The sequence below is a fragment of the Homo sapiens genome, chromosome 15, assembly GCF_000001405.40.
Source record: "Homo sapiens chromosome 15, GRCh38.p14 Primary Assembly".
Classification (NCBI taxonomy): Eukaryota; Metazoa; Chordata; class Mammalia; order Primates; family Hominidae; genus Homo; species Homo sapiens.
Genome location: NC_000015.10, coordinates 92,778,514 through 92,805,048, shown reverse-complemented (window position 1 = coordinate 92,805,048; position 26,535 = coordinate 92,778,514). Strand labels below are relative to the sequence as shown.

Sequence of the window (26,535 nt, the reverse complement as noted above, 5' to 3'; positions counted from 1 at the left end):
GATTCCAGAGGAGAAAGATGTTAATGTTTGTTTTGTACCTAGAACCTCATCGCTGGATGGGATTGTAAAGATCTGTGACTATTTTACACATTTGTTCTTTTTTTTTTTTTTTTGAGACAGAGTCTTGGTCTGTTGCCCATGCTGGAGTGCAGTGGTGTGATTTCGGCTCACTGCAACCTCTGCCTCCTGGGTTCAAGTGATTCTCCTGCCTCAGCCTCCTGAGTAGCTGGGATTACAGGTGCACGCCACCAAGCCTGGCTAATTTTTGTATTTTTAGTAGAGACGAGGTTTCACTCTGTTGGTCAGGCTGGTCTCGAACTCTGACCTCAGGTGATCTACCTGCCTCGGCCTCCCAAAGTGCTTGGATTACAGGTGTGAGCCACTGCACCTGGCCTCCCATTTATTCTTAGCAGTAACAGTTGGTCCCTGAAATTAGGAAACTGACTCTATTGTGATCTTCCAAGAGCTACATTGTCCAGCCCCTGGGCCTGTACATCCTTATGGAGTGAAGACTGACAGTTTTCCCTTAGGTCAGTGGAGCTACAGTGGCGTGTTGGAGTCAGCTGCTCAGAATGATGATGCACTTTTCTTTCCAACTTTGGTTTCAATGACATCATGTTGGTAGCTTGAAACTGGCCATAGCAGGGGTATTTACACCACAGGAATAGGTAAACACTACATATTAAGGCTTTTCCCCTTGGAGATGCCTTGTTAAATATTTACCAACACTCCACTGCCTGTTACAACACAGCAAAAGCCCCTCTGAGAGAAGGCCAGAGAATGTACCTAACTCCTCCCAGGTTGTCCAGTGTTTCATTGTCCCTGGACTGAAGAGTCCCTCAGTGGCCTTTGCTGAGATATTTCAACACCCTAGTCTCTTAAACTGTAAACAAAGGAGAGTCATGAGTTATTTCTGGGTGAGTCAGTCCAATATTGCACAAGCATTTCTGGGGGTAGTAGAGGGGAGGCAAGAGGGAAACTGGGTAGGCTGGGGAGCTATCTAACTGCCCAAGACACTTGAATCCTAAACAAACGGGAACTAAATGAGAGGTGGGAGGGACATAGTCTTTTCTGACGGGAACTGTCTGTGACTCATTCTCTTTCAGGAGTCAGAAACTCCAAAACCTGTGGGAGTGGGGAGGGGCGAGCAGTGCGGTTTTTAGAGAGGTGTGGAGTTATTATAGGGACTCTTAAAATTCTTCTCCCTTGCTCAGTGTGGTGACTCATACCGGTAATCCCAGCACTTTGGAAGGCAGAGGCAGGAGGTTTGCTTGAGCCTAGAAGTTCAAGACCAGCCTGGGCAATGTAGCAAGACCCCAACTGTATAAAAAATAAAAATAATTAGCCAGACATAGTGGTGCATGCCTGTAGTCCCAGCTACTTGGGAAGCTTAAAAATCTACCTCCATTTAACCTGGTAGATTTGGGGATGTGTGTGGTGGGCTGAATAATGGTCTCCCAGTGATATCCCAATATGTGGAAACTGAATGTTACTTTATCTGGCAAAAACAACAAAAACCAAAACACAGGCAGGGCAAGGTGGCTCACACCTGCAATCCCAGTGAGACTCTGTCTCAAAGAAAAAAAAAAACAAAAAAACAAAACCCCAACAACTAGGGCTTTGCAAATGTGCAGGTGTGTAAGTTAAAGATCTTACTTTTAAAACAATTTTATTTTAGGGTGTGGTGGCTCACACCTGTAATCCCAGCACTTTGAGAGGCCGAGGTGGGCAGATCACCTGAGGCTGGGAGTTCGAGACCAGCCTGACCAGCATGGAGAAACCTTGTCTCTACTAAAAATACAACAAAGTTAGCCGGGTGTGGTGGCTCATGCCTGTAATCCCAGCTACTTGGAAGGCTGAGGCAGGAGAATCACTAGAACCCAGGAGGCGGAGGTTGTGGTGAGCCAGGATCGTGCCATAGCACTCCAGCCTGGGCAGCAAGAGCGAAACTCCGTCTCAAAAAAAAAAAAATTATTTTATTTTATTTTATTTTGAGATGGAGTCTTGCTTTGTAGCCCAGGCTGAAGTGCAGTGACATGATCTCGGCTCACTACGCCCAGCTTAATTTAAGGATCTTGATGCCGGGCACGATGGCTCACGCCTGTAATCCCAGCACTTTGGGAGGCCGAGGCAGGTGGATCACTTGAAGTCAGGAGTTCAAGACCAGCCTGGCCAACATGGTGAAACCCCACCTCTACTAAAAATTCAAAAATTAGCCGGGCATGGTGGCACATGCCTGTGGTCCCAGCTACTTAGGAGGCTGAGGCAGGAGAATCACTTGAGCCCGGGAGGCGGAGGATGCAGTGAGCCAAGACTGCGCCACTGCACTCCAGCCTGGGAAACAGAGCGAGACTCCATCTCAAAAAAAAAAAAATATCTTGAGATGGGGAGATGATTTTGGATGATCAGGGTGGGCCTTAAGTGTTATCACATGTATCTTCCTAAGAGGGAGGCAGAGGAAGGCTTGTCTACACACACCAGAGAATTTCTGCCACAGAGACTGGAGTGAAGTATCATCCATGAAGCAAGGAACTCCAAGGACTGCCACCAACACCAGAAGAAAAAGCCATGGAACAGAGGGTCTCCTCTGGAGGCTTCAGAAAGAGCATGGCCCCAGCCGGGCATGTTGGCACATGCCTGTAATCCCAGCACTCTGGGAGGCCAAGGTGGGTGGATAATTTTGAGCTCAAGAGTTCAAGATCAGCATGGGCAACATAGCAAAACTACATCTCTACTAAAAATACAAAAAGATTAGTTGGGCTTGGTGGCACATGCCTGTGGTCCCAGCTATTCTGGAGGCTGAGGTGGGAGAATTGCTTGAGCCTGGGAGGAGGAGGTTCCAGTGAGCCGAGATTGCGCAACTGCACTCTAGCCTGGGTGACAAAGCCAGACCCTGTCTCAAAAAAAAAAAAAAAAAAAAAGAACAAAAAAGGAAATGAGAAAACCTAGACAGAAAAGATGGAATAGCTCATTCAACCTCACAGAGCTGGTATAGAGAAGCAGGATTTGAACACTGATCACTAAGTAGAGAGATGACTAGGTAACCCCAACTGATAGGATTAGTAAGGACATTTTCTGGAGAAGAGATCCTTATAAGGCATTCAGAAGAGCAAATGGAATTTCTAGGGGAAATGCTGGGAAGCCCATTCCAGGCAGTGAGCTACTGCATGAGAAACGGCAAAAACACGTCTGTGGGAGAAAGCTGAGTGCAGCAGGGTGTGGCCTGTTGTTTGGTGTGGCTGGAAGATAGGGGAGAAGGGCCAGAGACAAGGCAGAAAAGGACAGTAGGGGCCTGTGCCCCGAAAGCTGGGGCAGGGACTCCTCTCAACCAAGGTGCTCCAGGGTCCCCTTCAGCAGCCTGGAAGAAGGAGCCAGGGAACCTTGGAGGCCTGGCCACAGCAGTGCAGGGTGATGGTGCCATTGAGTAGGACCTGTGTCTTCCTGCATTTATCTCCCCAGCATTCCTGTGGCTTTCATGCCTTGGAGTTGGTTTGCCTGCCAGAAGGGAAGTTCTCGCAGCTGTCGGCTCTTAAATCCAAGGAATTGGCTGGGCGTGGTGGTTCGCGCCTGTAATCACAGCATTTTGGGAGGCTGAGGTGAGTGGATCATGAGGTCAGGAGATCAAGACCATTCTGGCCAACATGGTGAAACCCTGTCTCTACTAAAAATACAACAATTAGCTGGGCGTGGCGGCGCATGCCTGTAGTCCCAGCTACTCGGGAGGCTGAAGCAGGAGAATTGCTTGAATCCAAGAGGCAGAGGCTGCAGTGAGCCAAGATCGTGCCAGTGCACTCCAGCCTGGGCGACAAAGCAAGACTCCATCTCAAAAAAAAAAAAAAAAAAATTCCAAGGATTTGTGCGAAGCTTCCAATTAGTCATCAGCAATTTTCAACCTTTATAAGATGAAAAAAATTTTAGAAGCTTATATATTACAGTAAACCTAGGGAGGAACTGGATTTTAGTGCATCTTCTACCTTGGAGGGCAGTAGGGCAAATGAAAATATTATAAGTGGGAAGAGACTAAGGCAACGTCTTCACTAAAACAACTGTTTGGGGCCGGGTACGGTGGTTCATGCCTGTAATCCCAGCATTTTGGGAGGCCGAGGCAGGAAGATCACCTGAGGTCAGGAGTTTGAGACCATCCTGGCCAACATATGAAACCCTGTCTCTACTAAAAACACAAAAATTAGCTGGGCGTGGTGGCGGGCGCCTATAGTCCGAGCTACTCGGGAGGCTGAGGCAGAAGAATCACTTGAACCTAGGAGGCAGAGGTTGCAGTGAGCCAAGATCACGCCACTGCACTGTAGACTGGGTGACAGAACTAGACTCTGTCTCAAAAATAAATAAATAAACAAATAAAACGAAAAAACAAAGAAACAAAAAACTGGATTGCTTAAGCCTGGGAGATCCAGTCTGCAGTGAGCCATGATCACACCATTGCAAGCCTGGGCAACAGAGATGCCCACTGATCACTAAGTAGAGAGATGACCAAGCCTGGGCAACAGAGATCCTGTCTCAAAACAAAAACAAAAATAAAAACAAAAACAAAAAAACCAAAATACAACAAAAAACTTCCCCCAAAACCCAAAAAATGGAAAAAACTTCTCGATATGCTGGGTGTGGTGGCTCACACCTGTAATCTCAGCACTTTGGGAGGGTGAGACAGGAGGATCACTTGAGCCCAGGGGTTTGAGACTAGCGTGGGCAACATAGCAAGACCCCCTGTCTACCAAAAATGAAAAAAAAAATTGGCTGGGTGTGGTGGTGCACACCTGTAGCCCCACCTACTTGGGAGGCTGAGGAGGGAGGATCACTTGAGCCCAGGAGGTCAGGGCTGCAGTGAGCCATGTTTGCACTACTGCACTCCAGCCTGGGTGATAGAGCAAGATGCTAACTAAAAAAACCCCAAAACCATAAAACAAACACAAAACTTTTTGTGATGAAAAAACCCAAACCCTGAAATATACAAAAGTGGAAAATAATGTAATGAACTTCCATGTACCCATCACCCAACTTTAACGATTCTCAACTAATCACCAGTCTTGCTTAATCAATATTCACTCCTGCTGCTGTCCTTACTAGTTATTTCTATTTTGTTTGTTTGTTTTGTTTTTTGAGATGGAGTTTTGCTCTTGTTGCCCAGGCTGGAGTGCTATGGCACGATCTTGGCTCACTGCAACCTCTGCCTCCTGGGTTCAAGTGATTCTGCTGCCTCAGCTTCCCAAGTAGCTGGGATTGCAAGCATCTGCCACCACGCCCAGCTAATTTTGTATTTTTAGTAAAGATGTGGTTTCTCCATGTTGGTTAGGCTGATCTCGATCTCCCGACCTCAGGTGATCCACCCGCCTTGGCCTCCCAAAGTGCTGGGGTCATAGGCGTGAGCCACGGCCCCCTGGCCTGGTATTTCTATTTTTATATGCCCTAATATTTCTTATTTAGAAACATTTGAAGCCTATTAAAACATTACAAGAGTCTCGGGCTGGGTGCAACGGCTCACGCCTGTAATCCCAGCACTTTGGGAGGCTGAGACCGGTGGATCATGAGGTCAGGAGTTCAAGTCTAGCCTGGCCAAGATGCTGAAACCCTGTCTTTACTAAAAATACAAAAATTAGCTGGGCGTGGTGAGACACACCTATAATCCCAGCTACTCGGGAGGGTGATGCAGGAGAATCGCTGGAACTGGGATGGCAGAGGTTGCAGTGAGCCAAGATCGTGCCACTGCACTCCAGCCTCGGCGACAGAGCAAGACTCCATCTCAAAAACAAAAACGAAAACAAAAACAAAAGCATTACAAGAGTCTCATCTGAGGCCAGGCGTGGCTTCTCATGCCTGTAATCCCAGCACTTTGGGAGGCTGAGGTGGGTGGATCACTTGAGGTCAGGAGTTCGAGACCAGCCTGACCAACATGTTGAAACCTCATCTATACTAAAAATACAAAATTACCTGGGTGTGTGGGAGACTGAGGCAGGAGAATTGCTTGAACCTGGCAGGCAGAGGTTGTGGTGAGCTGAGATCGTGCTCCTTGGGTATAAATCTCCCCTTGTCTTTGTTGAAGTCAGGGTTGAGTCCAATCTCTCGTCCCCACTGCAAGACCCTGTGGCAGTGGTCCCTACACCTATCACTGTGGCCCCTTTTGGATAAAGTCTGCCTTAGCACCTTTTAACAAATGTCATAAATAATAATTTTTCTTTAACATTCTTTTTTTTTTTTTTTTTTTTGAGACAGGGTCTTGCTCTGTCTCCCAGGCTGGAGTGCAATGGCACGATCTCGGCTCACTGCAACCGCCGCCTCCTAGGCTCAAGTGATTCTTGTGCCTCAGCCTCCCAAGTAGCTTGGACTACAGGCATGCACCACCATGCCCAGCTAATTTTTGTATTTTTATTAATTTATCTATTTATTTATTTATTTTGAGACCAAGTTTTGGTCTTTTTGTCCAGGCTGGAGTCCAGTGGTACAATCTTGGCTCATTGCAACCTCCGCCTCCTGGGTTCAAGTGATTCTCCTGCCTCAGCCTTCCGAGTAGCTGGGATTACAGGCACGCTCCACCAGCCTGGCTAATTTTGTATTTTTAGTAGAGACAGGGTTTTGCCATGTTGGCTGGGCTGGTCTTGAACTCCTGACCTCAAGTGATCCACCCGCCTCAGTCTCCCAAAGTGCTGGGATTACAGGTGTGAGCCACCACACTCGGCCTAATTTTTGTATTTTTAGTAGAGATGGGGTTTCACCATGTTGTCTCAAGCTCCTGACCTCCAGTGATCTGCCTGCCTCGGCCTCCCAAAGTGTTGGGGTTACAGGTGTGAGCCACCGCACCTGGCCTGCCTCTCTCTCTCTCTTTTTTTTTTTTTTGAGACGGAGTCTCACTCTGTCGCACAGACTGGAGTGCAGTGGCACGATCTCGGCTCACTGCAACCTCCGACTCCTGGGTTCAAGCAATTCTCTGCCACAGCTTCCGGAGTAGCTGGGATTACAGGTGCCTGCCACCACGCCCAGCTAATTTTTTTGTATTTTTAGTAGAGACAGGGTTTCACCGTCTTGGCCAGGCTGGTCTTGAACCCCTGACGTCGTGATCCACCTGACTCAGCCTTCCAAAGTGCTGGGATTACAGGCGTAAGCCACCGCGCCAGGCCTTTTTTTTTTTAAGAAAAAAAAAAAAAAAAGACAAAACTTCCCAACTTGAATAAGGCTCCTGAGGCATGCAAGCCCTGGCCTCTGCATGTCCCTCCAGCAGCAGGCCCCAGCCTGCTCCTGAGCCTTTGGCAAGCTCTTCTTGGGGACCCCGTTTCCACCCCTCACCTCTCGTCTATCTGCCTTGGATCTTGGCTCCTTCATCTTTTTCTCATCTGCTTCTCAGGGACACCTTCCTTTCCCCGCATCAGGCTGCTTCTTCCTTATGTACTCTCACAGCACTTACTATGCTGTGGTATCTTACTGGTGTGATTCTTTGTCCGTTTTCCTACCTACCCCTTAAGGTCTGTGTGCGCAGGTACTGTGTCTTCCTTGGCTGAGCCTAGTATCCTAACTGCCTGCTGTGGTGCCTGACACATAGTAGGCATTGAATACATATTTGCTGAATGAAATAATGAGTAAAAGCTAGGTAATAGAAATAATACTTAGGTCTAAGAGGGACCAGTCTTTTTTTTGTAGTTGTTTAGCTACTTCATTTTGTTAAAAAGGACATCTTAATAACTAATTACTTAGTGCCATTACTGCCATCTAGTGGTGACTGATGTTATTATACTGCTGGGTCCATTCTCAATGATGTTACTGTACTGGCAGAGAAGGGAATCAATATATGCAAGATATCTGTTGAGTGTTTGCCTTGTTTCAGGTATTGTACCAGGAAGTTTACAGCAGTACCTGCTGGTTACGCCAGCAAAGGGAGTGTAAGCTGCTTTCCCATGGTCACCATCTAAGGAGGAGACCTGAATTCAACTCCAGGAGACCGTCTCTGTTTTTCTTTTCTTTTTATTTTTTTGAAATACATTTCTTTATTTTCATTCCCATATAGCAGAGATGGAACAAGGATAGTGATGCTGGAAAATCCTGCTTTGATCAAATCATCACATAAGTTAACGTCAGAAAACCTGTATTTGAATCTGACTCCTCTATCCTTGCCCTGGGAAATTGGACAGATTGACCCAGTTGCTGTGAGGGCTGAATTAGATGATGCTGAAAGTGCTTGGCCTGCAGTGGATATGCAAAACAATAGCTGTTATTTTAGACAGTCTCCAAGCAGGGAAAAAAGTCTTCATGCCTTCTAACTAATCATACAAACGTATGCAGTGTGTTTAAACTCTGGCTTCAGAGTTTAACAAATACAAATCTAATCGAAAAAATTAGTCAAACTCTATGAACAAATTTATAACTAATACAAATCTAATCGAAAAAACTAGTCAAACTCTATAAACCTAACTTGATTTTAAAATTCTAGTGGCTACAACACTCAATAATGTTTTCACATTGTTTGTGAATCCATTCCATTGATACATACAAAGATGTAGGAGAAACCATTTCAGATCCTCTGGGAGGACGACTTTGGTTATCTTATGATGCTGCTGGATTCCAAAGCCCTTCTGATTTCTAGGCATAACTGCATCAAAAGAAGGGGGCCCTTCTCTCTCCAAGAAGAGCTGGATCAAAGGGCTCTCTGGAGGCACCAGCTCCACATGACATTTGCCTTCAGCATTCTTGGCCTGGGTGTCTGCTCCAAAATCCATGAGCAGGCAGGCCAGCTCTTCACTGGCTGTCCTGGCCACTGCATGAAGTGGGGAATCCTTCATGAGGGCCTTCATGAAGGCCACTGCATGAAGTGGGGAACCTCTCCCTGGGTTCAGGTCTGCTCCTGACTCCAGAAGCTTCTTGACACAGGCTATCTGCTGGTTTTCACAAGCCAAATACAGTGAAGTGCCCACGTGGCTGATGTTATGGTCATTTTTGCCCCTATAAGCTGTAAGAGAGTCGACACACTCCACGTGGCCTCTCCTAGCAGCTTCATGGACGGGGGATGCCAGATCACTCTCAGGTTGAACGCTGGCTCCATGCTGCAGAAGCATAATCCCAGCTGCTGCTGATACAAACATTAAACAGTGGAGTGTGCCAGTCTGTTGTCACGCCATTCACCTGAGCTCCATGCTTTAATAAAATCTTTACACGAGAGGGATGACCTCTGAGACAGGCTTCATGGAGTGGGGAAACATGATCTGCCATGATGATGTTCACAAGCCACCCGTGGCTGATGAGGTTCCTCAGAGACAGCTGATGTCCGTAGATTGCAGCTTCAGGCATAGGAGACCAATCAGACACAGAATCACCCATCAATGGGTTTGAAAGAAGCCTGGTGTCAGGAGAGTCTCTTGGCCCCGTGGGCTTGCTCCCATCCATGCCCCCTTGTTTGCCATCCATGCTGCCCTCTCCTAAGCGAGCAAGCTCTGCGCTCCACTTCAGTTGCTCAGCAAAGTCCAAACTCCATGCTCCCCCTGCTCCTGAAAAATTCCAGTTCTGTGGCTGGCTGAGCTGCACACGTCCTAGTCAAATGGTCTAACTGGCTGGAGGCCCGCCAGAGGCCGCCTGTTTTTTTTTTTTTTTTTTTTTTTTGAGACGGAGTCTCGCTCTGTCGCCCAGGCTGGAGTGCAGTGGCGCAGTCTGGGCTCACTGTAATCTCCGCCTCCCAGGTTCACACCATTCTCCTGCCTCAGCCTCCCAAGTAGCTGGGACTACAGGCGCCCGGCTAATTTTTTGTATTTTCAATAAAGACGGGGTTTCACCGTGTTAGTCAGGATGGTCTCGATCTCCTGACCTCGTGATCCGCCTGCCTCGGCCTTCCAACATGCTGGGATTACAGGCGTGAGGCACCGCGCCCAGCCAGCCACCTGTTTTTTTCTTTTTTTTTAAAAGAGTCTTGCTCTGTCACCGTTGCCCAGAGCTTGAGTGCAGTGGCATGATCATAGCTCATGGTAACCTCGAATTCCCAGCCTGTAGCGGTTCTCCCCACTCAGCCTCCTGAGTGGCTAGGACTACAGGTGTGTGCCACCATGCCTGCCTAATTTTTAATTTTTGTAGATCTTGCTATATTGTCCAGGCTGGTCTCAAAATCCTGGGCTCAAGTAGTTGGAGAGGGCCAGAACAAAACGCTCCTTAATGGCAACAGATATATTTTGTTTTGTTTTTGTTTTTTGAGACAGAGTCTTTCGCTATCCCCCAGGCTGGAGTGCAGTGGCAGGATCTTGGTTCACTGTAACTTCTGCCTCCCAGGCTCAAGTGATTCTCGTGCCTCAGCCTCCCCAGTATTTGGGATTACAGGCGTGTGCCGTGACTAATTTTTGTATTTTTAGTGGAGACGGGGGTTTTGCCATGTTGCCCGGGCTGGTCTCAAACTCCTGACCTCAAGTGATCTGCCTGTCTCTGGCTCCCAGAGTGCTGGGATTACAGGCATGAGGCACCATGCCCAGCCGACATATTTTGTAAACAGGGAGAAAAATAGGTGGTTCTTAAAATTTCAGTAAAATGTTCACATTCTTTCTTATATAACAACAGAGGACCACTGAGTGCCCTCACCTTGAAGACCCCAGGACACCTGGATACACAGGATTTCTGTATGGCTTCTTTATTTTATTTTTATTTTTTGAGATGGAGTCGCTCTCTGTCACCCAGGCTGGAGTGCAGTGCTGTGATCTCGGCTCACTGCAACCTCTGCCTCTCGGGTTCGAGTGATTCTCCTGCCTCAGCCTCCCAAATAGCTGGGACCACAGGCGTGTGCCACCACGCCTGGCTAACTTTTGTATTTTTAGTAGAGACGGGGTTTCACAAAGTTGGCTGGGCTGGTCTGGAACTGCTGACCTCAAGTGGTCTGCCTGCCTCTGCCTCCCAAAGTGCTGGGATTACAGGTGTGAGCCACCACGCCCGGCCTCTGCCTGGCTTCTTATAGATGGTTTCTCTTGGTGTATGTTTCCTAGGCTTTTTGACTTTGTGGACTAGAAAGCTCTGGTCTCCAAGTCCCTACAAACTTCTGGATCTTCTACAGATTAAACATTTTAACAGTCTTCATAAAGTGCATTTGAAATCTAAGGTAAACATTCATTACCTGTACACCAACCACCTCAAAGGTTTTATGAAATAAGATGGAATATACATAAAATGCATGAGACAGGTGTACTTTGCTTTATGTGTTTGTGACACGTTCACACAAGTAAATTTTTAAATTTTTGGTGAGGAGATAAATTTGGCAATTTTTTTTTTTTGAGACAGAGTCTCACTCTGTCACCCAGGCTAGAGTGCAGTGGCGTGATCTCTGCTCGCCGCAATCTCTGCCTCCCCGGTTTAAGCAGTTCTCCTGCCTCAGCCTCCTGAGTAGCTGGGATTACAGGTGCATGGCACCAAGCCCAGCTAATTTTTTTTTTTGTATTTTTAGTACAGACAGGGTTTCATCATGTTGGCCAGGCTGGTCTGGAACTCCTGACCTCAGGTGATCCACCTGCCTTGGCCTCCCAAAGTGTTGGGCTTACAGGCATGCCCCACTGCTCCCCGCCAGGCAATTTTTTTTTTACCAAGAGTAAATTCAAAGGAGCCTGAGCATTAGTTTTAACAGGTAAGTCGGGTAGAAGATCAGGGAGCATGCCATAAGTGGCATGTACACTATATTATAAAGAGGAGTGGTTTTAAACCTTTTTTTTGAGACAGCGTCTCCCTCTGTCATCCAGGTTGGAGTGCAGTGCAACCTCCACCTCCCAGGCTCAAGCAATCCTCCCACCTCAGCCTCCAGAGTAGCTGGCACTACAGGTCATGCTACCATGCCCGGCTAATTTTTTGTAGAGAAGGGGTTTCACCACGTTGCCCAGGCTGGTCTCAAACTCCTGACCTCAAGTCATCTGCCTGCCTCAGCCTCCCAAAGTGATGGGATTACAGCAGTGATCCACCAGGCCCAGCAGTTTTAAACTTGAACTTACATCTGTGCTTGTTAAAGCACAGATTCCTAAGCTCCATCCCCAGAGATTCTGATTCAGTAGGGCTGGGGCCAGGCCTAATATATATATATATATATTTTTTAGACAGAATCTTGCTCTATTGCCCAGGCTGGAGTGCAGTGGCACGATCTCAGTTCACTGCAACATTTGTCTCCCGGGCTCAAGAAATTCTCCTGCCTCAGCCTCCCAATTAACTGGGATTACAGGCGTCTGCCACCACGCGTGGCTAATTTTTGTATTTTTGGTAGAGACAGGGTTTCACCATATTGGCCAGGCTGGCCTCGAACTCCTGACCTTAGGTAATCCGTCTGCCTTGGCCTCCCAAAGTGCTGGGATTACAGGTGTGAGCCACTGCGCCTGGCGAGAATTTGAGTTTCTAACAAGCTCCTGGGGGATGTGAATGCTGCTGGCTCAGGGATGGCACTTGGAGAACCATCAGAGCAATGAATTATGCCCTGACTTACAGTAGCCTGTGTCCTGCTTCCTGTCTTTTTCTGGAGAGGTAAAAATTGAGGTAGCCTCCCTGTTACTTGTTCCCCCTTTGAAAGAAAGCAGGAGAGAAGGATTTCTTTTCTGCTTTAGTCTCTATGCCTCATGTCTTTTTTGTTGTTGTTAAAAAAAAAAAATAGAGACGGAGTCTCCCCATGTTGCCCAGGCTGGTCTTGAACTCCTGGGCTCAGGAGATCCTCCTGTCTCTGCCTCCCAAGGTGTTGGAATTACAGGCGTGAGCCACCGTGCCCGGCAGTTTGCCTCATGTTTTATCCAGCATGACAAAAATTGGGCAGCGGTCAGTGTAAGAGGCAATGGTGAGTCCCCTTTCACCTATGGATCTGTGTCTGGTTCCTCTTCATATTCTGGAAGCCCTAATAAATGTCCACTATGGCCAGGTGAGAGATCTCAGACTGCCACAGGCCTGAGTGGTTGTACTTTGGAGATGTCTTTGGCTAGCCTGTGTAGGTATGTGCGTTTGCGACCTGTGATGGAGGCTGTCATCGCCCTGCCAGGGTTGTGGTTCCTGTCTCCTCTCCTTCTGGCTTTCTACCTGGCTCCCTCTAATCCAGTTTCCAAGTGGAAGCCAGAGCCCACCTAAAACACAGGATAGGAGGTCTGTGTGCTACATACATCTTTAGTTGCTCTTGCTTCTTAGAGAATAGAATCTCTTCTTTAGCAGGGTACCTGAGGTCTTTACCTCTGGTCTCTGTTCACTTCGTCTTATCTCTGGTTCAGCTTTTTTGGTTTTCCACATCCTGAACTTAATGCCTATAATGTCCTCATGTCATTTCTTTGCCTATTTAATTTCCTTTTGTCTTTCTTAGTCCACAGATAAGTCTTTACATAAATCTCTGTGTGATTCTGGCACATATAGTTTTATTGAATGATTGAACAAATGCATGAATGAATAAATAAGTATACAGGAAATTGATTTTTAAAAAGCTGTAGTAAAATACATATAACATACAATTGGCCATCTTAACAATTTTTTTAACCTTTTTTTGTTTTTTTTTGAGATGGAGTTTTGCTCTTGTTGCCCAGGTAGGAGTGCAATGGCATGATCTCGGCTCACTGCAACCTCTGCCTCCTTGGTGCAAGTGATTATATTGCCTCAGCCTCCCGAGTAACTGGGATTACAGCCATGCGCCACCACGCCCGGCTAGTTTTGTATTTTTAGTAGAGACGGGATTTCTCCATGTTGGTCAGGCTGGTCTGAAACTCCCCACCTCAGGTGATCCACCTGCCTTGGCCTCTCAAAATGCTGGGATTACCGGCATGAGCCACCTCGCTTGGCATCTTTTTTTTTTTTTTTTAGTCTTGCCTCTGCCTCTTGGGTTCAACTGATACTCCTGCTTCAGCCACCTGAGTAGCTGGGATTACAGGTGTGCACCACCACGCCCAGCTAATTTTTGTATTTTTAGTAGAGACAGGGTTTCACCATGTTGTCCAGACTGGTCTTGAACTCCTGGCCTCATGTAATCCACCTGCCTCGACCCCCAAAAAGGCTGGGAGGATTACAGGTGTGAGCCACTGCTCCCGGCTATCTTAACCATTTTTTTTTTTGAGATGGAGTCTCGCTCTGTTACCCAAGCTGGAGTGCAGAGGCACAATCTCAGCTCACTGCAGCCTCTGCCTCCCAGGCTCAAGCGATTCTCCTGCCTCAGCCTCCCAAGTAGCTGGGATTACAGGTGTGCACCACCACACCTGGCTAATTTTTATATTTTTTTTTAGTAAGAGATGGGGTTTCACCATGTTGGCCAGGCTGGTCTTGAACTCCTCACTTTAGGTGATCCACCCACCTCGGCCTCCCAAAGTGCTGGGATTACAGATGTGAGCCACCATGCCCGACCAATTTTTTTTTTTTTTTTTGGAAACCGAGTCTCGCTGTGTAGCCCAGGTTGGAATGCAATGGCGCAATCTTGGCTCACTGCAACCTCTGCCTCCCAGGTTCAAGTGATTCTCCTGCCTCAGCCTCCCTAGTAGCTGGGATTACAGGCATGCGCACTACCACACCCAACTAATTTTTGTATTTTTAGTAGAGACAGGGTTTAGCCATGTTGGCCAGGCTGGTCTTGAACTCCTGACCTTGAGTGATCCGCCTGTCTTGGCCTCCCAAAGTGCTGGGATTACAAGCGTGAGCCACAGTGCCCAGTCTGATGTGCTATTTTCTGTATGTTCTTTTGTATCTTTCACATTTTGTGCCAGGCGCTATGTATTTCCTATTTTAAAATAATGTTGAAAAGAATGCAAATAACCTGTCCGGTGGGAGAAGTGATTAATTTTTGCCCGATTTTACACAGAGAGGGAGGCTTTGTGGCCTAGAAATAAATATTAAGTCAGTAAGAAAAACCCTAAATTAAATTAAACTTGGTTGGTTAATTTTCTTGACTCTCAGGAAAGGTTAACCATCAGTCTGAGTCTTTGACTGCTCCAGGGATTTTTAAATAACTGTATCTTATTCACAATGTAGTGATTAGATCTTTTTAGTATTCAGAAATTGACCTGAAAATGCCCCATACAAATGCATTTAAGGGCAAAATCTCATTTTTATACAATTTCTCTTAGCAGCTGCTCAAGTGCAAGCTTCTGAGTTTCCGTTTCTTCTAAACTGTCTATAGCAGCAAGGAAAAGCGCTTTAAGATGAATTTGACAGGCCAGGCGCGGTGGCTCACATCTGTAATCCCAGCACTTTGGGAGGCCGAGGTGGGTGGATCAGGAGGTCAGGAGTTCGAGAACGTCCTGGTTAACACGGTGAGACCCCGTCTCTACTAAAAATACAAAAATTAGCCGGGCGTGGTGGAAGGCGCCTCTAGTCCCAGCTACTTGGAAGGCTGAGGCAGGAGAGTCGCTTGAGCCCAGGAGGCAGAGGTTGCAGTGAGCCGACATTGCGCCATTGCACTCCAGCCTGGGGACAAGAGCAAGACTTCGTCTCAAAAAAAGAAAAGATGAGTTTGATAGCTTTGTCCTAATACATACTTATGTCTGGATCCAAAGGGGACAGTGTCTCTAGCTCAGGGGGCGATGGATGGGCCTTCCTGCAGAGTGGATGTTTATTGATTACTAAAGCATCTATTTGAGTTAATCACTATCATTTTCATCATAGTCTCATTGGTGTTTGAGCAGTGTAAGAATATCAGCTCAGCTTTGAGCTGGATTTCACCCTGTATTAGTTCATTCTCACATTGCTATAAATAACTACCTGAGACTGGATAATTTATAAAGAAAAGAGGTTTGGCCTGGCGTGGTGGCTCATGCCTGTAATCCTGAGAGGTGAAGCCAGCTGGACTTCTGGGTCGGACTTGGAGAGCTTTTCTGTCTTACAAGAGGATTGTAAAATGCACCAATCAGTGCTCTGTAAAGACACACCAATCGGCACTCCGTGGCTAGCTAGAGGTTTGTAAAATGGACCAATCAGCACTCTGTAAAATGGACCAATCAGCACTCTGTAAAGTGGACCAACCAGCAGGACATGGGCGGGGACAAATAAGGGAATAAAAGCTGGCCACCCCAACCAGCAGCAGCCCCTGGCTTGGGTCCTCGTCTAAGCTGTGGACGCTTTGTTCTTTCGCTCTTCACAATAAATCTTGCTCACTCTTTGGGTCCGTGCCGCCTTTAAGAGCTGTAACACTCACCGCGGAGGTCCGCGGCCCCGTTCTTGAAGTCAGCGAGACCACGAACCCACCAGAAGGAACCAACTCCAGACACAATCCCAGCACTTTGGGAAGTCAGGGCAGGCGGATCAGGAGGTCAGAAGATCGAGACCATCCTGGCCAACATGGTGAAACCCCATCTCTACTGAAAATATAAAAATTAGCTGGATGTGGTGGCGCATGCCTGTAATCCCAGCTACTGGGGAGGCTGAGGCAGGAGAATCCCTTAAACCGGGGAGTTGGATGTTGCAGTGAGCTGAGATTGCGCCACAGCTCTCTAGCCTGGCGACAGAGTGAGCCTCCATCTCAAAACAACAACAACAACAAAAACCAAAAGAAATGAGGTTTAATTGACTCACAGTTCCACAGGTTGTACAAGAGGTGTGACTGGGGAGGCCTCAGGAAGCTTACAATCATGGTGGAAGGATGAAGGGGAAGCAAGCACGTCTTCACATGGCAGTAGGCGGGAGAGTGAGTGAAGGGAGAAGTGCTACACACTTTCAAACAACCAGATCTCATGAAAACTCACTATCACAAGAACAGCAAAAGGGAAATCCACCCATGATCTAATCATCTCCCACCAGCTCCCTCTCGCAACATTGGGAATTACAGTTCAACATGCGATTTGGTGGGGACACAGAGCCAAACCATATCACACCCCATTCAAAGCTATGAGATTATAAAATGGTCCTTCTCCTGTCACTCAGCTGACTGTAAATTCATGCTGGCACATCCACACCACGGCAGACAGGTGAGTGACTCCTATGTGCTTTGGACATTTGTGACAAATAACTTTTCTGTTTCAGATATTCCAACTTAATAAAAAGGTAATATACTCATTATGTTCCTGTTTCCCAGAAGACACTGCTTGGGAGTTCTGTTCTGTCATCAACGGAGCTGTGATGACCGTGGATGTCACTGGTAGTGGCCAACATTTCTGCAGCTCCTTCTCAGTTACATCCTCAACACAAACTCCTCACCAGGTATGATGGTTTTCAGGATCTGATCCCTGTCCCATCTCTGTTCTCATTTCTTCACGTGCCCACACCTTCATAGTAATGTCTCCAGCTTCCTAATGACTCTAAGTTTTCTGAGCACATTATAGTTTTCTTTATTTCTGGCCTTACCTTTTATTTTCCTCAACTGCTAGGATGTTCTTCACTGTCCCACATTGCCTGGTGAACTATTTCTCAGAGCCCGGCTTAGGTGGGGGTAGGGGGGCCTTTCACTGTAGGTCAGAGCAGGTGACCCTCTAAGGCTTTCGTGGTTCCTTGTGATGGACATTTTGGTGGCTCCTTCTACCCACTGCATTATAATTGCTTGCTTGTATTTGTTGTATTGCCAACTCCTCTGGCCAGTGATTCTCAAACTCTTCTAGTGAGCATCAGTATCCAGGGGTTTGTTAAAGCCCAGAGTGCTGGGCGCCACTCCAGAGCTTCTGATTCAGTAGGTGTGGGGTGGAGCCTGAGAACTTCATGTCTCAGAAGATTCCCAGCTGATGCTGATGGTGCTGGTCTGGGGACCACACTGTGAGAACGCTGCTCTAGGGCAATAACGGGGCTTTTGTTCTTGGTCTCCATGTTCCTAGCATCCAGCCCACCTTGGTATAGAGCTGAGAGTCAACAGGTGTTTGTTACTGTTGAATGAATGAGTGCAAAGGGGGTTATGTTGGGTACTGAATACCCCAGGAGTTACCATCACATGCAGAAGAGAAATCTGAACAATTGCAGAGAATTGATGATGAAGATGGTGGGGGAGGTGGTAGTGCCTGGGTAGTGCCTGGCACATGGGAAAAACTCAGGAAGTACATGAAATCGGAGGAGGAAGGAGTGTGAATAAGGTGGGAGATTCAGGGAGAAGTGAGGAGGCAAGAGGGATGAGAAGTAGACCCTTCCAGGCACCTTGAATTAGGGGTTTAACGCATTCGTTTTGCGACTTTTTAATTTTTTAATGGAAACTTTTTAAGGCTGCAAACTTTTCTCTAAGGGATATTTTTGTGATAAGCCAGTCATCTCCGAATGTAGTTATTTTGTCGTGGTTCCGTTCTAAATATTTTGAAATTTCTATTATGATTTCTTCTTTGATCCATGCGTTATCTGGAAATGTATTTGAAATTTCCAGTCATATGGGTTTTTTTCTTGCTATTTTCGTGTAATTGTTAACTGCATTGTGGTCAGACTATGAAGTCTGCATAATGTCAATCGTTTGACATCTTCTTTGAGCAGACCTTACAGGTCTAGCATGGGGTTACTTTTTGTAAAGGTTCTCTGTGTTCTTGAAAACAGTGTGCATTTTCCACTTGTAGGCTATTGTGTTCCACAGGTGTCTAATGGGCAAGTTTGCTAATGGTACCATCTTTATTATCTTTATTCTTATGAGCCTTACTATATTTTTTTTTTTTTGAGGTAGGGTTTTATTCAGGCTGGAGTGCAGCGGCAGGATTATGGATCACTGCAGCCTTGACCTCCCCGGCTCAAGTGATCCTTCCACCTCAGGCTCCCAAGTAGCTGGGACTACAGGGGCACACCACTACACCTAGCTAATTTTTTTATTTTTTGTAAAGACAGGGTTTCATCATGTTGCTCAGGCTGGTTTTGAACTCCTGGGCTCAAGTGATCCTCCTTCCTTGGCCTCCCAAAGTGCTGGGATTACGGGGGTGATTCACTGTGCTCAGCCTGAGTCTTATTATATTCTCGCTCTTTCTTTGTCAGATCTATCGATCTATTACTGGGAGAGGAGTGTTAGAATCTCCCATTATGATGGTGGATTTATCAAGTTCTCCTTGCAGCTATGTTAATTTTTGCTTTATGTGCGTTAAAAGTTAGACTCACTTCTTTCTGATGAGTAGAACCTTTTATTATGTTGTTTCCTTGTCATTGCTAGTAATTCTCTTTGTTTTGCAGCCTGTTTTGTTTGATAATGTAGCAATATAAACTTTCTTTTAGTTAGTATTAGCCTGCTATAATATTCTCAATCTTGACACCCTTGACTTTTCTGTGTGTCTGTGTCTTCCTTCCCTCCCCTCCCATCCTTTCTTTTTTTTGTTTTTTTGAGATGGTGTCTCACTCTGTCACCCAGGCTGGAGTGCTGCGGTGCAATCTCAGCTCTCTGCAACCTCCGCCTCTTGGGTTCAAGCGATTTTCCTGCCTTAGCCTACCAAGTAGCCGGGATCACAGGCACGTGCCACCACGCCCAGCTAATTTTTGTATTTTTAGTAGGGATGGGGTTTCACCACGTTGGCCAGGCTGATAATTGAACTCCTGGCCTCAAGTGATCTGCCTGCCTTGGCCTCTCAAAATGCTGGGATTACAGGCGTGAGTCACAGTGCCCGGCTTTTCTTTCTCTCTCTCTCGCTCTTTCTCTCTTTTTATTTCTCTCTCTCTCTCTGTGTGTGTGTGTGGCCTCTCTTTAAAATAGCAGCTATATCTAACTTAAAAAAAGTCTAGTCTGAAAAATCTTTGCCTTTTAATTTGAAAGTTTTTCCCTTTAAGTTTACTGCAATTGTTGATTTATTTGGATTTATTTTCTACCACCTTATTATAGTCTATTGTATTTCTTCTGCTTTTTCTGTTTGCTCTTCTCTTCCACCACCACCTACCTCTTGGCTGATTAATGGTTTTGTTTTTCCTCTTCTTCTAGTTTTTTCTTCTTAGAATAACTATTCTATGTCTCTATAAGAATATCTATTCTTTTGGTGGTTACCTTAGTTATTCTGAGGTACATACTAAATAAAATTTAAGATTAATGAATTTCTAAGTTCTTTCAGATAGACCTTAGAATGTTTTAGATCAGCATCTTCAAATTGGAGTATTTATGTGTATGCATTCTGCAAGGTGTATGTGGATTTGTTTTAAGGAAATACATTTCCAAATCTCCTTTTTTTTTTTTTTGAGACAGTCTTGCTGTCACCTAGGGTGTAGTGTGGTGGCGTGATCTTGGCTCACTACAACCTCCACCTCCCAGATTCAAGTGATTCTCTTGCCTCAGCCTCCTGAGTAGCTGGGATTACAGGTGTCCACCACCACACCTGGCTAATTTTTTTTGTATTTTTAGTGGAGACGGGGTTTTGCCACGTTGGCCAGGCTGGTCTCGAACTCCTGGCTTTATGTGAATTGCCTGCCTCAGCCTCCCAAAGTGCTGGGATTACAGGCATAAGCCACAGCGCCTGGCCCAAATCTCCTATATTTATATGCACTCTTTTCTAAAATTGATCTGCCTTGGGAACTCTCCTGCGATAAAGTTGCAGTTTCCTTTCCCACTTCTTTCATAATCTCCCTTTTCCTAACTCTTGTCTATCCTGAATCTAACGATAGTACATTGGCCTAGGTGTACAAACCTTTAAGCTACCAATAAAGCTTTAATTAAAAAATATTGGCAGCTTGCTGGGTGCGGTGGCTCGCGCCTGTAATCCCAGCACTTTGGGACGCCGAGGCGGGCGGATCATGAGATCAAGAGATCGAGACGATCCTGGCCAACATGGTGAAACCCTGTCTCTACTAAAAATACAAAAATTAGTCGGGCGTCGTGGTGCAAGCCTGTAGTCCCAGCTACTCAGGAGGCTGAGGCAGGAGAATCACTTGAACCCAGGAGGTAGAGGCTGCAGTGAGCTGAGATCGCACCACTGCACTCCAGCCCGGGAGACAGAGCGAGACTCTGTCTCAAAAATATATATATATTTGCAGCCGAGTATAGTGGCTTACCCCTGTAATCCCAGCCTTCGGGAGGCAGAGGCAGGAGGATTGCTTGAGCCAGGAGTTGAGACCAATCTGGGAAACATAGTGAGACCCCGTCTCTACCAAAAAAAAAATAAACAAAAATTAGCTGGGTGCAGTGGTGTGTGCCTGTAGTCCCAGATACTTGGGAGGCTAAGGCAGTAGGATTAAGTGAGCCAGGGAGGTTGAGGCTGCAGTGAGCCATGATTGCACCCCTGTACTTCAGCCTGGGCAACAGAGCGAGACCCCCTTGCCCCCAAAATATGTATAATACACACATATAACATATATATGTATATATGTAACACACACATATAACATATATATGTATATATGTAACACACATATAACATATGTATATATGTAACACACACATATAACATATGTATATATGTAATACACACATGTAACATATATATGTCTGTATATATAGTTAAACAAAAATATTATATAAAATATATACACGCTAGATTTTCTCTTAAAAAAATTTTACATTTTTTTACACTGTTTTTTCTTTCGTTCTTTGTGGTTTGTGTGTGTGTGTGTGTGTGTGTATGCAGCAAAGCGAAACAGTGATATTGGGATTGCAGCAAATGAAAGTGAATCATTTATTGCAGGGCACCAAGCAAGGAGAATCAGGCAGCTCATGCTTAAGATCCAAACTTCCTGATGGCTTGTAAGCAAAGGTTTTTAAAAGCAGGGGAAAATTTCAGGAAAGGAGAAGTTACAGGCAAAATTGTAAATGAATACATGGAGATTATACATTGGTTTGGCCTTAGAAGATGGAATATCTCGAAGCAGGGTTAGAGGGTGGTGCTTAGAGGTCCTAGGTAGATTCAAAGATTTTCTGATTTGTAGTTGGTTGAGGAGGAGAAGCTTTCTTTAAAAAGCTGGGGTCAGCAGCAGAAGATGTGAGCACTGCCTTGTGGGTGTGACTTCCTCCAGGCCTCTCAGGAAGAACTTCAGGACAAAGAATGGTAGTCAAAGTGCAGTCCTCAGTTTGCCCCTTAGCTGAGGTCTACGTGCCAGCGGATCCATTTGGTGGGAGTTCTGAAAAACTCAGGGACATATGTTAAGTTGTTACGTAGGGAACCAACACCTTGTGACTCTAACTTCCTTGGCTATTGTTTGAAGCTACTGTTAACTTTCTTTTCTTTTCTTTTTTTTCTTTTTTTTTTTGAGACGGAGGAGTCTCGCTCTGTCGCCCAGGCTGGAGTGCAGTGGCGTGATCTCGGCTCACTGCAAGCTTTGCCTCCTGGGTTCACGCCATTCTCCTGCCTCAGCCTCCCAAGTAGCTGGGACTACAGGAGCCCGCCACCAGGCCCGGCTAATTTTTTGTATTTTTAGTAGAGATGGGGTTTCACCGTGTTAGCCAGGATGGTCTCAATCTCCTGACCTCGTGATCCGCCCGCCTCGACCTCCCAAAGTGCTGGGATTACAGGCGTGAGCCACCGCGCCCGGACATTTTTTTTTTTTTTTTTGAGAGGGAGTTTCACACTTCATGCCCAGGCTAGAGTGCAATGGTGCAATCTCGGCTCACCGCACTGTCCGCCTCCCGAGTTCAAGTGATTCTCCTTCCTCAGCCTCCTGAGTAGCTGGGATTACAGGTATGCGCCACCACACCTGGCTAATTTTTTGTATTTTTAGTAGAGACAGGGTTTCACCATTTTTGTCAGGCTGGTCTCGAACTCCTGACCTCAGGTGATCCACCTGCCTCGGCCTCCCAAAGTGCTGGTATTACAGGCGTGAGCCACCGCACCTGGCCTATATTTGCATTTCTAAGGGACTAAGTGGGAAGTGGGGAACCAGGGGAATGAGAAAAGAAGGGAGAGAAACAAACTATCTCTTAGAAAAATGAGGGGCACTTGGTTACAATTCCTCACTCAAATCAGAGGTTAAGAGTTCATATGTGTCACCAGGAGCTTGTCACCAACAAGCTGGGTTCTTGGCTGCCAGAACCAAGCCACTTCTACTGACTTTGGCTGATAGATGCAGAAGCACTTGTTCTTTTAACAAAGGCTTGTGGACGTAAGAAAGGCTCAGTGTCACTTTCCAGATAACCCAAAGAAATATTTATTCCTGGCTCTGAGCAGGTGGCAGAAGTGGAAGAAGCTGAGATGTGGCTGTGAGTCCTGACTTCACTGCTGTCCAGCGGAAAGAGTCTGAGCAGTCTAAACCCGAGGTTTCGCCAGTGTGAAATGGGGCTAATTATATAGACATATGGGTTTTACAAAGTTTTGACAAATCAGAACTTTTGTTTTATATGCTGGGTTGAAATCAAGGACCTGCTGGGTCTGTTCCTGCTACTTGTGGTTGGGTGGGGGAACAGAGGATAGAGAAGAAACTGTTCATCTCAGGTTGGAACGTGCCAGGTCTTCAGCCTTCCAGTGGCTTTTTAAAAAAACATTTTTATTTATTTATTTTTGAGACAGAGTATTGCTCTGTTGCCCAGGCTGGAGTGAAGTGGTGCAGTCTCGGCTCACTGCAGCCTCCGCCTCCCAGGTTCAAGAGATTCTCATTCCTCAACTTCCCGAGTAGCTTGGATTACAGGCATGTCCACCACAGCCAGCTAATTTTTTTTTTTTTTTTGAAATGGAGTCTCACTCTGTTGCCCAGGCTGGAGTGCAGTAGCGTGACCTCAGCTCACTGCAACCTCTGCCTCCTGGGTTCAAGGGATTCTCCTGCCTCAGCCTCCCCTGTAGCTAGGACTACAGGCGTGTGCCACCATGCCTGCTAATTTTTGTATTTTTAGTAGAGACAGGGTTTCACCATGTTGGTCAGGCTGGTCTCGAACTCCTGAGCTTAGGTGATCCGCCCACCTCGGCCTCCCAAAGTGCTGGGATTACAGGTGTGAGCCACTGTGCCTGGCCTTTTTTTGTGTTTTTAGTAGAGACGGAGTTTCGCCATGTTGGCCAGGCTGGTCTCGAACCCCCGACCTCAGGTGATCACTTCAGCCTCCCAAAGTGCTGGGATTACAAGCATGAGCCACCAAGCCTCGCATATCCAGTGGCTTTTGATGGCTGAAGTGCAAGTCACACCCCCTCTCTGAATTGCACCAGGCCTACAATTCACCAGATTTGCCAGGCTGGGTGGAAGGATATGTAAATCTGACTCAATTCACAGCCTCTCTTAACACTTCAATCAAAATTGCATCTAATTGAGGTTCATTCATAAACCTCATTGACGTAAACAACTGCAAACATGGAGGAGCCCTCCCCAAAGCTTGATAATTACTTCACGATGAAAACTCAGCTGTCAGAACATCATTGTTGCTATGACAACTATGAGAGAAGCTGGTTGCCCAGGGTTACCCATGTTACCAGATGTCACTGGTGCTTGAGTGTTAGCTTCAAATGAGCCTCAGGAGCATAATGAGAAAAGGCAATGAGAACTATATAAATGGGTCTGAATAAGAGAACGTCTTTTTTTTTTTTTTTTTTAATCTTAAACCCCAATAGATTCAGGAAGTATCTATCTCATTACAGGACAATTGAGTTATATCTTGGAACCAGGGAGTCCTAAAATGACCTATCCTCTAAAAGGCCTTTCTTTCTCTTTTTAAAATTCTTTGTTAAATTTTTAATAAGTAATACACATATGTGCTTCAAGCTTTAAAAAATACAAAAGGCGGCCAGGTGTAGTGGCTCCCACCTGTAAACCCAGCACTTTGGGAGGCTGAGGCAGAAGGATCACTTGAGGCCAGGAGTTCAAGACCAGCCTGGGCAACCTAGTGAGACCCTGTCTCTTCAAAACTAAAAATAAAGAAATTACTCTCTGGTGCTTCAAGCAACATCTCTGGAGAGTCGTGTTGTGTGAATTGGTTTGTATACATTAGTATGTGTATGTATTCACACATTCATATACACTCAGGATACAGTTGGCCTAATTATCATTGGGGCCATAGGTAAAACTTATGAAGAATGTTCTCATGCTGAATTGTAATTTTCTTTTACCTGTAAAGTAAAATTTAGATCAATCCCATGTCTGTGTTTATTTTGAATATCATAGATATGCTGTACATTTAAAGAGGCAATGCTACTGGGATTATGTAGGTTCTAACTCATTTTAACAAGGGCACTGTCAGGCCTCTAAGCCCAAGCTAAGCCATCATAACCCCTGTGACCTGCATGTATACATCCAGATGACCTGAAGCAACTGAAGAACCACAAAAGAAGCAAAATAGGCAGTTCCTGCCTTAACTGATGACATTCCACCCTTGTGATTTGTTCCTGCTCCACCCTAACTGAACAACTGACCTCGTGACATTCCTTCTCCTGGACTGAGTCTCAGGAGCTCCCCACCAAGCACCTGGTGACCCCTGCCCCTGCCCACAAGAGAAAAACCCCCTTTAACTGTAATTTTCCACTACCTACCCAAATCCTATAAAACTGGCCCACCCCATCTCCCTTTGCTGACTCCTTTTTTGGACTCAGTCGGCCTGCACCCAGATGATTAAAAGGCTTTATTGCTCACACAAAGCCTGTTTGGTGGTCTCTTTACACGGACGTGCGTAACCAGTACCTGACCTGCGTAAGATAACTTGAGGCCAGGCGTGGTGGCTCATGCCTGTAATCCCAGCACTTTGGGAGGCTGAGGCGGGCAGATCACCTGAGGTTGGGAGTTTGAGACCAGCCCGACCAACATGGAGAAACCCCATCTCTACTAAAAATATAAAAAATTAGCCAAGCGTGGTGGTGCATGTCTGTAATCCCAGCTACTCGGGAGGCTGAGACAGGAGAATCACCTGAACCCAGGATGCGGAGGTTGTGGTGAGCCGAGATCACACAATTGCACTCCAGCATGGGCAACAGGAGTGAAACTCCATCTCAAAAAAAAAAAAAAAAAGACTTGAATATTGTATTTCTTAGGACTATACTAATATTCTTCTCACAAAAGGTCTATAAAATATTATTGCTGAAAAGTATTTTGTATCAAAATGTTTGCAGGCTGGGAGCGGTGGCTCACACCTGTAATCCCAGCACTTTGGGAGGCCAAGGCAGGCAGATCACTTGAAGTCGGGAGTTTGAGACCAGCCTGACCAACATGGAGAAACCTCATCTCTACCAAAAATACAAAATTAGCGGGGTGTGGTGGTGCATGCCTGTAATCTCAGCTACTCAGGAGGCTGAGGCAGGAGGATCACTTGAACTTGGGAAGCAGAGGTTGCAGTGAGCCGAGATCGTGCCATTGCACCATTGCACTCTAGCCTGGGCAACAAGAGAGAGACACCATCTAAAAAAAAAAAAAAAAAAAAGCTTCTCCCTAACCTGTATTGATATTCACTTGAATTATTATTTTCTAAAATTAAGAGCCCTATGACTACCTGTAAATCTTTTCACATATCATTTAAAAGTTTGTATTATTATTATTGATTTACAGCTTAATTATTATTTTTTCTTTACAGGGATGCCATTGATGTGCATGCTTTTATGTTTTTCAGAAAAGGGTATGTTTGGATGAAAGTAAAAAAAAATAAAGTAAAATCTTTCACTGTGAAAAAAAAAATTGCAAGGGTGTAGTGGCACATGTCTGTAGTGCCAGCACCTGGGGAGGCTGAGGTGGGAGGATCACTGGAGCCCAGCAGTTCGAGGCTGCAGTGAGCCATGATCATGCGACTGCACTCCAGCCTGGGTGACAGAGTGAGACTCTGTCTCAAAAAAAAAAAAAAGCCAAAGGTATATGGGGAAGTTCTTTTCTCCATCCTTACCCTACCGCACATAT

The 26,535-nt window shown here is 46.0% G+C and overlaps 1 long non-coding RNA gene and 1 pseudogene across 4 annotated transcripts, besides 3 other annotated features; one reads left to right on the top strand and one right to left on the bottom strand.

Moving 5' to 3' along the window:
• Positions 558 to 607: an enhancer, noted in NCBI's record as "active region_10118". NCBI's record gives its function as "activates an Ori minimal core promoter by ATAC-STARR-seq in GM12878 lymphoblastoid cells {active_cell/tissue: GM12878}" and the evidence as "EXISTENCE:reporter gene assay evidence [ECO:0000049][PMID:35858748]".
• Positions 3,145 to 3,996: an enhancer, noted in NCBI's record as "H3K27ac-H3K4me1 hESC enhancer chr15:93344283-93345134 (GRCh37/hg19 assembly coordinates)". NCBI's record gives its function as "activates a minimal SCP1, AML or CMV promoter by ChIP-STARR-seq in naive H9 embryonic stem cells {active_cell/tissue: H9 hESC(naive)}" and the evidence as "EXISTENCE:reporter gene assay evidence [ECO:0000049][PMID:30033119]".
• Positions 7,099 to 7,268: an enhancer, noted in NCBI's record as "experimental_42698 CRE fragment used in MPRA reporter constructs". NCBI's record gives its function as "activates a minimal promoter by MPRAs in K562 erythroleukemia cells, with activity observed for both the introgressed and non-introgressed 15:93341096 variant alleles {active_cell/tissue: K562}" and the evidence as "EXISTENCE:reporter gene assay evidence [ECO:0000049][PMID:34662402]".
• ASB9P1 (ankyrin repeat and SOCS box containing 9 pseudogene 1) lies at positions 7,941 to 9,565 on the bottom strand (annotated as a pseudogene). The gene has a single exon (NR_033769.1). The product of NR_033769.1 is annotated as an ankyrin repeat and SOCS box containing 9 pseudogene 1 (transcript).
• Positions 9,566 to 15,331: 5,766 nt separating this feature from the next.
• Positions 15,332 to 24,983, top strand: LOC101926994 (uncharacterized). 3 transcript variants are annotated; one of them, XR_001751667.3, is made up of 3 exons: positions 15,332 to 16,853; positions 16,961 to 17,085; positions 24,823 to 24,983. It is a non-coding gene; the product is annotated as an uncharacterized LOC101926994 (long non-coding RNA). The 3 variants fall into 3 exon arrangements; XR_001751666.3 differs by lacking the exon at positions 24,823 to 24,983 and adding an exon at positions 22,908 to 23,275; XR_007064766.1 differs by lacking the exon at positions 24,823 to 24,983 and adding an exon at positions 22,908 to 23,275 and having other exon boundaries at positions 16,320 to 16,853; positions 16,964 to 17,085.
• The last annotated feature ends 1,552 nt before the right edge of the window (positions 24,984 to 26,535 follow it).